This window comes from Homo sapiens, chromosome 6 (assembly GCF_000001405.40).
Source record: "Homo sapiens chromosome 6, GRCh38.p14 Primary Assembly".
Lineage (NCBI taxonomy): Eukaryota > Metazoa > Chordata > Mammalia > Primates > Hominidae > Homo > Homo sapiens.
In genome coordinates this window covers 53112997-53126078 of record NC_000006.12, presented here as the reverse complement: position 1 = coordinate 53126078, position 13082 = coordinate 53112997, and the positions used below count along the sequence as shown (strand labels likewise).

At 43.3% G+C, this 13082-nt stretch overlaps 3 annotated features.

Moving 5' to 3' along the window:
• Positions 5623–6122: an enhancer, noted in NCBI's record as "NANOG-H3K27ac hESC enhancer chr6:52984755-52985254 (GRCh37/hg19 assembly coordinates)". NCBI's record gives its function as "activates a minimal SCP1, AML or CMV promoter by ChIP-STARR-seq in naive and primed H9 embryonic stem cells {active_cell/tissue: H9 hESC(naive and primed)}" and the evidence as "EXISTENCE:reporter gene assay evidence [ECO:0000049][PMID:30033119]".
• Positions 5623–6288: a biological region, named in NCBI's record as "Sharpr-MPRA regulatory region 2296".
• Positions 5994–6288: a silencer, noted in NCBI's record as "tiled region #2296; HepG2 Repressive DNase matched - State 5:Enh". NCBI's record gives its function as "represses a minimal TATA promoter and a strong SV40 promoter by Sharpr-MPRA in HepG2 cells {active_cell/tissue: HepG2}" and the evidence as "EXISTENCE:reporter gene assay evidence [ECO:0000049][PMID:27701403]".

The following is a 13082-nucleotide window of genomic DNA, read 5'->3' as shown; positions in this document are numbered from 1 at the left end:
CACTGCAGAAGTTCCCCTTACTGTGGATTTCAATCCCATCCACAACCCTCTCCCTGTATCCCAAAGGTGATCACTAGACTGGCTCTTTACATTTTTACTACCTTTGTATGTATCCCTAAACTATAGTTTCGTGTGGTCTTTTTGGGGAGCCTAACAAATAGAATCATATGGTATACTTTAAAGAATTAATTGAAGTGTAATGTACATATAGAAGAATCCACAGCTCATAGCATAGAGCTCAATTGTCATAAGAACACACCAGTCTAGCTATCATCTAGTTAGTGTACATTTTTTTATGATCTTGCCTTTTCTGCTCAACATTGTATCCATAAGAGGGTAGCTGTAATTTGTTATTTTCATTGCTGTAATACATTTCTTTATTCTCACTCTAAATGAAATGAAAGAGCTAAATAAACAGTAACTGTCTGAAGGAAACTTTAGCTCCTGTTGGTCCAAAGCTTTCTGGGTATTGCAAACATTTTACCTCCACCAGACTAGGCATCCTGTTATTCCAAACCTTTTCTCACTTTCAAAAACTATAATCTTAGCCAGGCATGATGGCTCATGCCTCTAATTCCAGCACCTTGGGAGGCCGAGGTGTGAGGATCGCTTGAGCCTAGGAGTTTGAGACCAGCCTGGGTAACATAGCAAGACTCTAAAAAATATTTTAAAAATTAGCTGGGTGTGGTGGTGTGCACCTGTAGTCCCAGCTACTCGGGAGGCTGAAGCAAGAGGATTGCTATAGCCCAAGAGGTTGAGGCTGCAGTGAGCCATGATTGTGCCACTGCACTCCAGTCTGCGTGACAGAGCCAGATCCTGTCTCAAAAAAATAAAAATAAATAAATAAAATCCAAAAAACTATTATATTGATATTTATCAAAGTAAGAACATGTACGTAGCTTAAAGGTCAGCTGGCATCACAAAGCTTACTATGAACAACAGCTGTCTCTACTCCCAAGTCCTATTCCCACCCCTCCAAGAGGTTTCCGCTTTTTAACTCCTTGAGTTATTTCTAGTAGTTACCTCTGTATTACTAGAGAATGTGCTTACACATCTTTTAGTTTTATATGTCTATTGTTTTCTGACTATAGATTAGGATTTAGGACATATGCACCACTCTCCGCCTAGATCATGCATTCTTCCAGCAAATTACAAAGATCAGTTGTATTGAAGTACAGTTTACATACAATAAAACACAACTCAGCCAGGCACAGTGGCTTATGCCTGTAATCCCAGCACTTTGGGAGGCTGAGATGGGCGGATCACCTGAGGTTGGCAGTTTGAGACCAGCCTGACCAACATGGAGAAACCCCGTCTCTACTAAAAATACAAAATTAGCCGGACGTGCTGGCACATGCCTGTAATCCCAGCTACTCAGGAGGCTGAGGCAGGAGAATCACTTGAACAGGGGAGGTGGAGGTTGCGGTGAGCCGAGATTGCGCCATTGCGCTTCAGGCTGGGCAACAAGAGCGAAACTCCGTCTCAAAACGAAAAACAAACAAACAAAAAACTCCACTCATTTTACAGAGTTTTGAACACTGTACATGTGGTCATTGTATACAATGAAACCTCACCAAAATCAAGATATAGAACATGGCAGTTCCCCTGAAAAGTCCTGCTGTGCCTTTTGCAGTCAATTCCCTCTGGGATCCCCAGCCCCCAGCAACTCCTGGAGCCTTTTATCTCTGAACAAGTGTGGGCAGGCTGCTGTCTGATCCTGTTGCTCCTTCATCTTTGGGCTTACTTTCCTCCCCTCTTGATTGGGTTCATGTCTTTCTTATTCTGGGTGTATTTCATCATTTTGGTAGAGCACACACCCTACTAGTTCTCTAAGAAAAGATCCATGGGAGATACATTTTTGGAGCACTTGAATGCCTGGAAATGTCTTAATCACATACTTGGTTTTTGTTTTTGTTCTTTGACTTGGCACAGAGTTTACCTGAGATTAGAAATGCAGGTTGAAAGTAATTTTCATACAAAATGGCCAGGTGCAGCGGCTCACGCCTGTAATCCCAGCACTTTGGGAGGGCAAGGTGGGTGGATCACCTGAGGTCAGGAGTTCGAGACCAGCCTGGCCAACATGGTGAAACCCCGTCTCTACTAAAAATACAAAAACAAAATTAGCCAGGTGTAGTGGCGCATGCCTGTAGGCCCAGCTACTGGGGAGGCTGAGGCAGGAGAATCACTTGAACCTGGGAGGTAGAGGTTGCAGTGAGCCGAGATCGCTCCGTTGCACTCAAGCCTGGGGTACAAGGGCAAAACTCTGTCCAAAAAAAAGAAAAAAGGCTGGGCGCAGTGGCTCATGCCTGCCTGTAATCCCAGCAATTTGGGAGGCCGAGGCAGGTGAATCACAAGGTCAGGAGTTTGAGACCAGCCTGGCCAATGTGGTCAAACGCCATCTCTACTAAAAATACAAAAAAAGAAATTAGCTAGGTGTGGTGGCCCATGCCTGTGGTCCCAGCTGCTCGGGAGGCTGAGGCAGAAGAATCGCTTGAACCTGGGAGGCAGAGGTTGCAGTGAGCCAAGATCGTGCCACTGCACTCCAGCCCGGGCAACAGAGTGAGACTGTCTCAAAAAAGTTCAAAAATCTGAAGTTACTGGTCCACTGTCCTCTAGTATTCAGAGCTGCTGTTGAGAAGTCTGGATATCATTTAGATTTCTGGTCCTTTGAACATGGCCTGCTTTTTCTCTCTAGGAGCTTTCAGATAGTTTAATTATTTCTCGTTACTTGAAATTTCATGACAATAAGGCTTGAATGGGCCTTTTCATTTTTTATTCATTGTATAAGGCCCTGAGGCTTTTTTTTTTTTTTTTTGAGACAGTCTCGCTCTGTCGCCCAGGCTGGAGGGCAGTGGCATGATCTCGGCTCACTGCAACCTCTGCCTCCCAGGTTCAAGCAATTCTTCTGCTTCAGCATCCTGAGCAGATGGGACCACAGGCGCCCGCCACCACGTCTGGCTAATTTTTTGTATTTTTAGTAGAGACGGGGTTTCACTGTCTTAGCCAGGATGGTCTCCATCTCCTGACCTTGTGATCCACCTGCCTCAGCCTCCCAAGGTGCTGGGATTACTGGCATGAGCCACCGCGCCCGGCCAGTGGCTTTTAATATAATCATTCATATTTTTTATTTCTTGGATATGTTCTTATATTTTTCAAAAATTTTTTTCTTTCTTTTTTCCGGTTGTCTTTTTGGAACTTTTTTCAGATGAGTATTGCATTCAACAAATTTTCACGGAGCACCTAAGAATGCTCTCATCCTGGGTGCTGTGCTTATGTGGGCTGCTCTGCCAGGCAAAACGGCATCTGCTCTGTTTAGTGAGCATTGACTGAGGGCAAGAAAGACACTTGGGCCTAGAAAATGTTACAGGATATTACATTGAATCCTGAGTGTAAGGATTCAAACCTGTTAAGGTTAAGATAAAATACAAATAGAAAAATGTGAAAGGGGTTGGGCATGGTGGCTCACTCCTGTAATCCCAGCACTTTGGGAGGCCAAGGTGGGTGGCTTACTTGAGGTCAGGGCTTTGAGACCAGCCTGGCCAACATAGTGAAACCCCATCTCTACTAAAAAGACAAAAATTAGCCAGGCATGGTGGCTCATGCTTGTAATCCCAGCTACTTGGGAGGCTGAAGCAGGAGAATTGATTGAACCCGAGAGGTGGAGATTGTAGAGAGTTGAGATCGTGCCACTGCACTCCATCCTGGGCAATAGAGCGAGACTCTGTCTCAAAAAAAGAAAAGAGAAAAGGAAATAAAAAATATGAAAGGCAAACAAAATGGGAACATGGATATTACTACAGCACTAAAATGTATTATATTTGATACTGTCTTGATTTGTATGTGTAAATCATTTCCTGTTTAGCACCTGGCTCAATGCCAGGCTCCTAGAGATGCTCAGTGTGCATAACTGCCTCAGAATGGCCCAAATGTAAAGAAGTATCAAAGGCCAATCAAAAGTTGGGCTGGGCACAGTGGCTCACACCTGTGATCCCAGCACTTTGGGAGGCCAAGGCGGGTGGATCACTTGAGGTCAGGAGTTCGAGACCAACCTGGCCAACATGGAGAAACCCCGTCTCTACTAAAAATACAAAAATTAGCTGGGAGTAGTGGTGTGCACCTGTAGTCTCAGCTACTTGGGAGGCTGGGAAGGAGAATCACTTGAACCCAGGAGGTGGAGGTTGCAGTGAGGTGAGATTGTGCCACTGCACTCCAGCAAGCCTGGGTGACAGAGCGAGACTCCATCTCAAACAACAACAACAACAACAAACCACTGTTGGGACTATTATTCTGATCTTAATAAAAACGTAGTATGAATAAAATATCCAAAGTAGGGACTTGTTTCACTGCCTATTTAGTATAAAAAGTCATTTATTATTTAGCTTAAGGTGGCAGACCAAATGTATGCCTTTGCTGGAGATCTTAAATGTCAGTAATGAAGTATAAAAAAATGAGCCAAGAGAACATAAGGGGGATAATGAGTGCATCAGAAACGTCGACAAATTTCTGGGAGATGGGAAGTGGATGAAGTGTATATTGATGTACAATGAGGAGCCCCAGAGAAGTGAAATGGAAAGGCAGGACCCTGGAAAGGCTGCGGGCTGATGTCACTGAGCTGAAGGGTAGGAATGAGGAGAGATGGGCACCGGAAACAGGACCAATACTTGAAAGTCTTTCTGCAGATCAACTGCTACCAGTTAGGACTTCACCCAAACATGCATCCCAGGGAATACAAACAGTTAAAAAATAATAAAAATACTAAAAGTAAGACTTGCCTCAAGAGAAATTGAATTAACTATTCTAGGGGAACTGAGGCTTCAACTTGGGTACTTGTTCCCGAGAATAAAGTATTTTGTATTGTTGCATTTTGGAGGTGAAGGTCTAAAGGCACTCTGAAGTGAAGGCTGTCTGACATTTGATCTTGATGCTGGAAACTTTAAAGCCACAGATAAGAAAAGATGGCCCTTGCTGCTATGTAGCTGTGTCCTAAGCCACTTGTGTAGACATAATTATTGGGTTCCAACTTTTTAATTAACTGCAGATAAAATACAAAAGACCCCATAATAGTTCCAGCACAGAATGTCACTGTGGTAAAGATGTAGTTGACAGAGGCAAAAGAGAAAAAAAGTGGAAGAAGATTTGGGTAGGGTCAACACATTTTTGTGTGGGAGGGTATCCAGAGACACTGGCTAAGGATGGAATAATAAACAGTGATTTAATGTTTCTTTAAGTTGCAAAGATGTCTAGTAGAGGCATGGAGAATAATCATACAACAGCATATGACTGCAAAACGTCAAGAAGAAGAAGGTAGAGACAGGGAAAGGAGCAAAAACACAAGTGAGGTAAACCCCATTTTTCATCCTGGGCAATCAATAGAGATCCAGATTTGATACATTAAGAAACTGAGGAATAAGCATGTGATTTAGAATGATCAGGGTTACCTCAGAAAAACCAAAGTCAGAAAAGGTTTAAATTTGCCATGTCTTGGGGAGCATTGGGGGAGGGGCAATAATTTTTAGCATAAACTCTGTGTGTACTATCGTATTTTTTTACCACGTACAAATGATTTTGATCCAAAAATGAAATAAAAATCACTAGATGGACTTATCTTAATGTAAACTGGTCACACATATTTTTAATAGCTTATGTTGTTAGTTGCATATGATTAGTAATATTTGTGGAGGTTGTTTTGTTTTGTTTTGGTAGAAACAGGGGTCTCCCGTGTTGCTCATGCTGGTCTCAAACTCCTGGGCTCAAGGGAGGCTCCCGCCTCAGCCTCCCAAAGCACTGGGATTACAGGCATGAGTCACCACGGCCAGCCACCGTTTGTGTTTACATATAAATAGTAACAGCTGTGCTACTATTCAGTATTTTTCTACAAACAACTACTGACATATTAGCTGATCCCAAGGACACTAATGGCCCTCCATTTAGGGGAGTGCTTTCCTGTTCACTTGTGGGTACTATTTAATTAGGAAATGTGTAAATGAAGAGGACTAAGCTCAGACAGGCAAGGGAGAAGATATTCCTGGCCTTGTCAATGGAGTAGGATAGGGGTGAAGGCAATTGGCTGAGGTGCTGCCAGACTGTATGTGGCCTTGACCCCAGATGGCACCTTAACAGTCATTGCTTTTGTCCACCTGTCTCTGCCATGGAGTCCACAAGGAGGGGTCACAGCTAAGCTGGACTTAGACATCTGGGCTGGGTTGGTAGGTGGAAATGCTGTCTTTGTGGCCAAATGGGTCCTTCCAACCTCCTGGGATGAGTGAGAGAGAGAGAGAGACCTTCAAAAGTAGGGAGAGGGGAGGACTGGGGGAGAAACAGTGGAAACTAAACAATTTAATGTCACGATGAAGGGGAAAAAAAATGGGACAAATTTTAAAAGCAGAACCAACTTCTAAACTTTAATTCTGATGTTCAAAACAGAAAGAATAAAGTTCAGATTCTGACTAGAGTCCCACCCTTAAATTTAGAGCATTGTCCTGGGAAGACAGAATGTGGCAGGCCCTGGGTGATTTTAGTGGTTTATTTGCTCATTCTGCAAATATTTACATAGAAGCCACTTCCACAACAGTTTTTTCTGACCAGGAGAGAAGACACATCCCCATAGAGTTCTTTTCCTAGCTATTTTTTGCCTTGCCAGGAAAAAGTGATTTTGGAATCTAAACATTTCCTGCTAAGCCTTGGGATTTTTGATTTGTCACAGAGCACCTGTGTTCCTTTTGGTTTAAAATAAAATGATATTTGGATTGTAATCTAAAGACATAAGATTTTGGGAGCTGATGGAGGGTAAGATTTAAAAGCCTGAGTGTTCTTGTTTCTTCACCTTCCCTTTGTGGGACTTCATGCCAGCATTTTTCTCTTTGTGAGTACTACAAAAACAGAATTGCTATCCTCTTCTCTGAGGATAGTAAATCACTTGTATCTAGTTCCCTGTCAGTCCAGAATCTTCACATGCCCTCGATAGACCAGGATTGTTTTTTTCCAGGCTGTTTGGACCCATTGGTATTCGCTCTGAACATAAGAGAGATGGAGAACATTCATTTGGGGAACTCAAGTCCCCGAGCTTTTGAAACTCCGTTTTGAGATGCTGAACGTTTTTTATGGCAGTTGGGACAGGAGGTTAAATATTCTAATACTTTTTTATTGAGAGTGTGGAGTGTGGCAGACATTGTGCCAAATGCTTTATATAGTTATTTAATCCTTACAATGATGACGAAGAACATGTTGTTTTCCTCACTTAACAAACAAGGAAACTGAGCTGTGAGATACAAGGAGGTAACTTACAAGGATGCCTAAGAGATAGTATGAGTAATGGTTAGTGAAGAGTACGAGCCTTCAAACCAGGCAATACTGCCTCGTGTATGTGTGTTTGAGTGGGCGGATGGGGTACCCAGACACCTTTCTTTTCAATTTTGGGAAAATTTTTCAAGGCAGTCTTTGCTTGAAGAGGAAATGGCAGGGGTATTTGCTGCTGCAAGTAATTGTGCTCAAGGCTAGCCTAGAGGCCAGGCACAGTGGCTCACACCTGTAATTTCAGCACTTTGGGAGGTCAGGCAGGAGAATTGCCTGAGGACAGCAGTTAGAGACCAGCCCAGGCAACATAGGAGGACACTTTCTCTACAAAAAATCAAAAAGTAGCCTGGTGTGGTGGCACACTAGGTGAAGAATGGCTTGAGTTCAACAGTCTGAGGCTGCAGCGAGCTATGATTGTGTGACTGCACTTTAGCCTGGGCAATAGACCAGTATCTGGGCAATAGAGCATACATATATATATATATATATATATATACACACACATAAGAGCATATACATATATATATACACAATAGAGCATATATATATATATATATATATATATATATATATATATATATATACATGAGAGCATATAAAACATATATATATATATATATAAAGGGCTAGCCTGGAATACATTCGTGTGAATCACGTAAGTTTATTTTTGATATCCTACTTCAGTATCCCTTTTGAACTCTTTTCAGGATATTCAACCTTATAATCACAGAAATGCAAGGGAAAACTACATTAAGATTCTTTTTTCACCTCCCAGATTAGCAACAATCCAAGATTTTGACCATACAGCCTGGTGGCCAGGTACTCTAATATACATTGATGGTGAGGGTATTCACTGGTACAACCACTGGCCTCCTATCTTCTTTCAAAATTCTTTTCATGGCTGGTCACAGTGGCTCACACCTGTAACCCCACAACTTTGGGAGGCTGAGGAAGGAAGATCGCTTGAGGCCAGGAGCTCGAGACCAGCCTGGCCAGCATGGCGAAACCCCATCTCTACTAAAATAAAAAAAAAAAAATAGCCAGGCATGGTGGCATGCGGCTGCAATCCCAGCTACTGGGGAGGCTGAGGTAGTAGAATCTCTTGAGCCCAGGAGGCAGAGGTTTCAGTGAGCCAAGATCACGCCACTGCACTCCACCCTGAGTGACAGAGCAAGACTCCGTCTCAAAAAATAAAAAATAAAAAAATTCTTTTCACAAGCACAGTCCCCATCTGTGTTCTCTTGGAGCCAATCTAGGTGTGTCCTTTCCTTAGGACCCCGGAACCTTCCCCACAGGGTTGTGTGAGAACTACCCTCCACTTCTGTGAAAACTATCCTCTCTGTTCAGTTTTCTGCTAAAGGTCAGAACGAGTTACCCTTGAAAGATTTAATGACTGTATCCTAGTAGGGGCCCTTGTGGGACAACAATTTGGGCCTGGAGGGACTTGGATGGAAAGTCTACCTTAGCAGGATGCTGAGATATGCTAGGACCGGGGGGTGCTTTATGGGCACTCCATCACACTGGCCCTGCTTATTTTCTAGCTAGTGGTTCACATTTACTAAGCATCTACTACATGCCAGGTTCTGTTTTAAGGACTGTATATTCATTAACCCAGTTAAGATTTACAGTAACACTATGAGGCTAGTGCTAGTATCATCACTCCCATTGTACAAGTGATAAACTGTGGCTCAGAAAGAACTAATATTCCCAGGAGCATTTAGTTCACAGTTTGACAAAGCCAGGATTTGGACCCAGGTAGTTGTGTTCAAAGCTGACGTTCCCTCAAAGCTCAATGATGTCCAAAACCTTTGGAAGGGGGAGGAATTGCTCATGCGTAAAGGAGAAGTGCATACCTCCAACAATTGCTCTGACACCATTAGGGTGTAAAGCATCAGCACTTGGCTACCTCACCACCTGCTCCTAGTCACCAGTACTCAGCAATCTCTCCTAGAATAGGGGCAGACCCTCTCCTTTTCACACACAACTGTTCCCAGGGGAGTCCCACTGCAGAGATGCTTGGGCCGGAAGACCCAAGTCTGTGGCAAGAGTGGTGTCTGGGGTGTGCTGCCCTCAGAGTTTCTTTGAGGATCTGGGTCTCGGTGCTGAGTCTGGCCTTTCCACCATACTCCTTAGCAGTCATGGAGTTTTCCCCCTAGGATCCCCACTCTTCCTCCTTATAGCCTCACTTCCTGCAATCCTCCCCCACCCTTCTCAAGTCCCTCATTCATATTTGTACACACCTTTATCCTAGCCATGGAAGGATTTGATTTCACTCTTGTAGAGCTCCTGACCAACTGCAGGGCTCCCTGGCTCAAGAAGCCGAAAAAAGATGGACTGCTACATAGCAGGTGGAGTAGACTTCAGGGTAACTACCAAGTGACTAACTGTAACTGACATTCAAGCAGGTAAGCCTGAGGCACACCTGGGTTACACCTGTCACACAGTGCTTAGGGACTCAGACACTGTGGCCAGGTATGTGCTCACAACATCCAGTGACACTTACCTAGGTCCCACCATTAGGGCCCAGCAAAGCCCCCTCTGTAATACTTGGAAATAAGAATTCTTTACATTCCGTGGTATCCCCAAGGTTCCAATAAACACATACATTTGCATATCAGTTGTCACTCTGTCTCCCTCTGCCTGTTTAATCTACTAGAGTTGTGGTATCTCTGGCTGGATTTTATTGCTTCTGTAGTAGCAGAAGGCGCCAGGGCTTAGGATAGAGACATGGCACTCTGGGCTGAGGTAAAGAAATCTGGGCCTAGATGTGGAAACATGCTTTGCATGAGCAGAGGTCAACGGCTGACTTTAAATGATAGCTTTCATAGAAATGCTTGCCATTTCTTAGAAACCATCAAAGCTTGGCATTGTTTGTGTCACTAAGAAATTGTAAACAAAACACAATTTGAACCTGTCTCTCTCTCTCTGGCTTCTGGTTTCCCTTGGCTGGGCCACATCATCACAATGTTGATGAGATGTGGGCCACAGCTTGCTTTGGGCTACTGACTCTGAAAGATGCTGCCAAGAAACCTACAAAATGCTGGCCATGAAGACTGAGATCTCAAGCCTCACCTCACAAAATAAAGCCCATTTAGGAAGGCAGACAGAGTGGTGAGAAGGTCAGGTTTGGGTAAAAGGAGCACATGAGGATTGAGGATGGAACAAACAATCTCGGAAATGTCATTCACTGCTGACTCAGGAGTGTGATATCAACATCATGAACTAGAAAGGGCATAGGATTAAGTGCCAGGAGATTTTGTAGGGGAGGGAAAAAACTTTTTTCTCTATGCTTTTCAATTCTGCAGCTGTGGCCCTGGAAATTAAATTGACAAAAGCCATAATTACAGGAGAAAAAAGTTTATTTCATGGGCATGTAAGGTACCTCAGAGAAATGAAATGAAAATCCCAAAGACATAGTCAGAGTTGGAGGTGTATATACCATTTTAACAAAGGGCGATGAATTTCTGGAGAACTAACAAGACAAATGAAAAGGCAGTTGAGCTTCTAGAGGCAGGAAGTTGTGAGAAGGTAAATATATGGGGAAGCTAATGGAAGGTAAGTGTTATTTTAGTAGGGTTTGTGTTATAGATTCCTTTTGGGGTCATCTTTGGGATGAAAAGAGTCTAGAGTTATCTCTGGTGACTAAGAGTTATTCTGCCTTTCCTGGTATGAGAGAGGGAAGGGGAACACCTTCACAAAGAAAAATATATGCCCTGCTTTTAAGCAAATAGGGAAAAGTAGAGAGCCTTTCTGCAGTCTGCTCTTTCCCAGTTGCCTTCAGCTCAAAACAATCCTTTTACTAAGGCAATACACTCTGATCCCTTTCAGTTTTATATAATTTATTGACAGTCTCTTTCCTGCTAGGCTGGAGGCACTTTGAAGGCAGGAACTGTGTCTATTTCACTCACTTTTGTATCTGCAGAACCTAGCACAGTGCCTGGCCCATTCATTTGACTAAAAATTAACAGATGAATGATTTTGAACATCAGCTTTGAGTACAACCACCTGGGTCCAAATCCTGGCTTTGTCAAGCTATGAACTAAATGCTCCTGGGAATATTAGTTCTTTCTGAACCACAGTTTATCACTTGTACAATGGGAGTGATGATACTAGCACTAGCCTCATAGTGTTACTGTAAATCTTAACTGGGTAAATAAATATAGAGTCCTTAAAACACAACCTGCACATAGTAGGTGCTTAGTTTGAGTTGCCCTGAGCCTCAGTTTCCTTATCTGTAAAATGAAGGTAATGATCTTGTCTTAGCGCTTCAATAGATGCCTTCCTCCATTGACTTACTCTTCAGCAGAGATTCCCATCATGGGCATGAGAATAAACAGAATAATCTCTTATTTTGAAAAAGTAGTGTAAGTGTAAACTATCTTTTCCTTTTTTCTCTCTCCCTTTTTTCTTAAACCAGGCAGCCTCTGACCCAGAATAGGTTTGGAGAGGCTCCCAAAATGTCTTTTCTTGACTTTCATGGCAGCTATTCCTCGTTTGAATGTTCCCAGGGAAATATGGCAACTGTGGGAGACCAGAATATGCCTCCTCAAAATAAGAGGATTGTTGAGCTGAAGATAATTAAGATGCAGGGGAGCTCTGTGTCTTCCCTTTGCTTGCCTAAAAGCAGGACAGAGATTTACAGAGACAAAAGGTTTTTTATCCTCCCTGTCTCTTTTCTTACCTAAAGATAAGATGTACATTCTTCATTACTGGAGACAACCCTTGATCAGCTCAGAGATGGTGCCAGAGGGACCTGTGAGCAGACTTTACTCCATTAGTGTTTGCCCATATATTTACCTTCCCATAGCTTCCCATTTTTGGAAGTCCAGGACTACTTTCCTTTGTCTTGTCACTTCTCTGAAATTTATTGTTCTTTATTAGACATACTATATATGGCAGACTCGTAAACACTGCCTTGAGTTAACTCTTCACTGAGGTTTCTCCCACGCGATGTGTCCTGTACGTGTTGATAAGCTGGACTGTTCTCTTGTTAATCTGTCCTTTGTTGCAGAAGTCTGTCCCAACTACAAACTTAGGAAGGTTGAGAAAGAGAACAGACCAAGAGACATTGCAGCAAACTACCAGTGATTATTTTCTCATTTTGTCTACTTCTGCGACACATGTTCTCCAGGGAGTTTGAAATGTAGGGACAAGCACACAGACACATACCACGCATCTTCCTAAGCTAAGGAAATTACACTGAGATCAGAAGTGGCTGGAGCAGCAAATGTCACACTCCAAATGCCACATTCACAGAAGCAGAAAGGACAAAAACAAATCGGCAGCCCATTTTTGCACAGCTGTGAGATGGAGTGTCTGAAAAATGTAGTCTTGAGATATCTCACTTGTGTTTTTATCAGAACACTTCAAATGATAGCAGCAAATCTTTGGCTTAGTGGAAAAAAGTCTCCAGAGTTGGAGTTAGATGTCCTGGATCCTATCTAGAGTTCACCCTTACCCTGTCTTTGGGCAAATCATGCTTCTCTGGGTCTCGGTTTCCTCCTTCAGTCTAAATGGCTATATGGCCTCTCATGGCCCTAACACTGTAAGACAATAATAGTGGTATTAATTTGGATTAGTCAAACAAGGGACAGCTCCCTCAGGGCATAACTTTCTGCTTCCAGGTGATGCTGGCATCCCTCCACCAGCACCTGGATCCACTCCCCCAGGAGGATGAGGGTGTGATTTGTACATCCAGCTCTCCTACCCTGAGACCTTGAGTGACCCAGGATGCAGCTAAGAGACACTGGCCATGCCCACAAAGAGAGCAGAGGCCTGAGAAGGGGCTG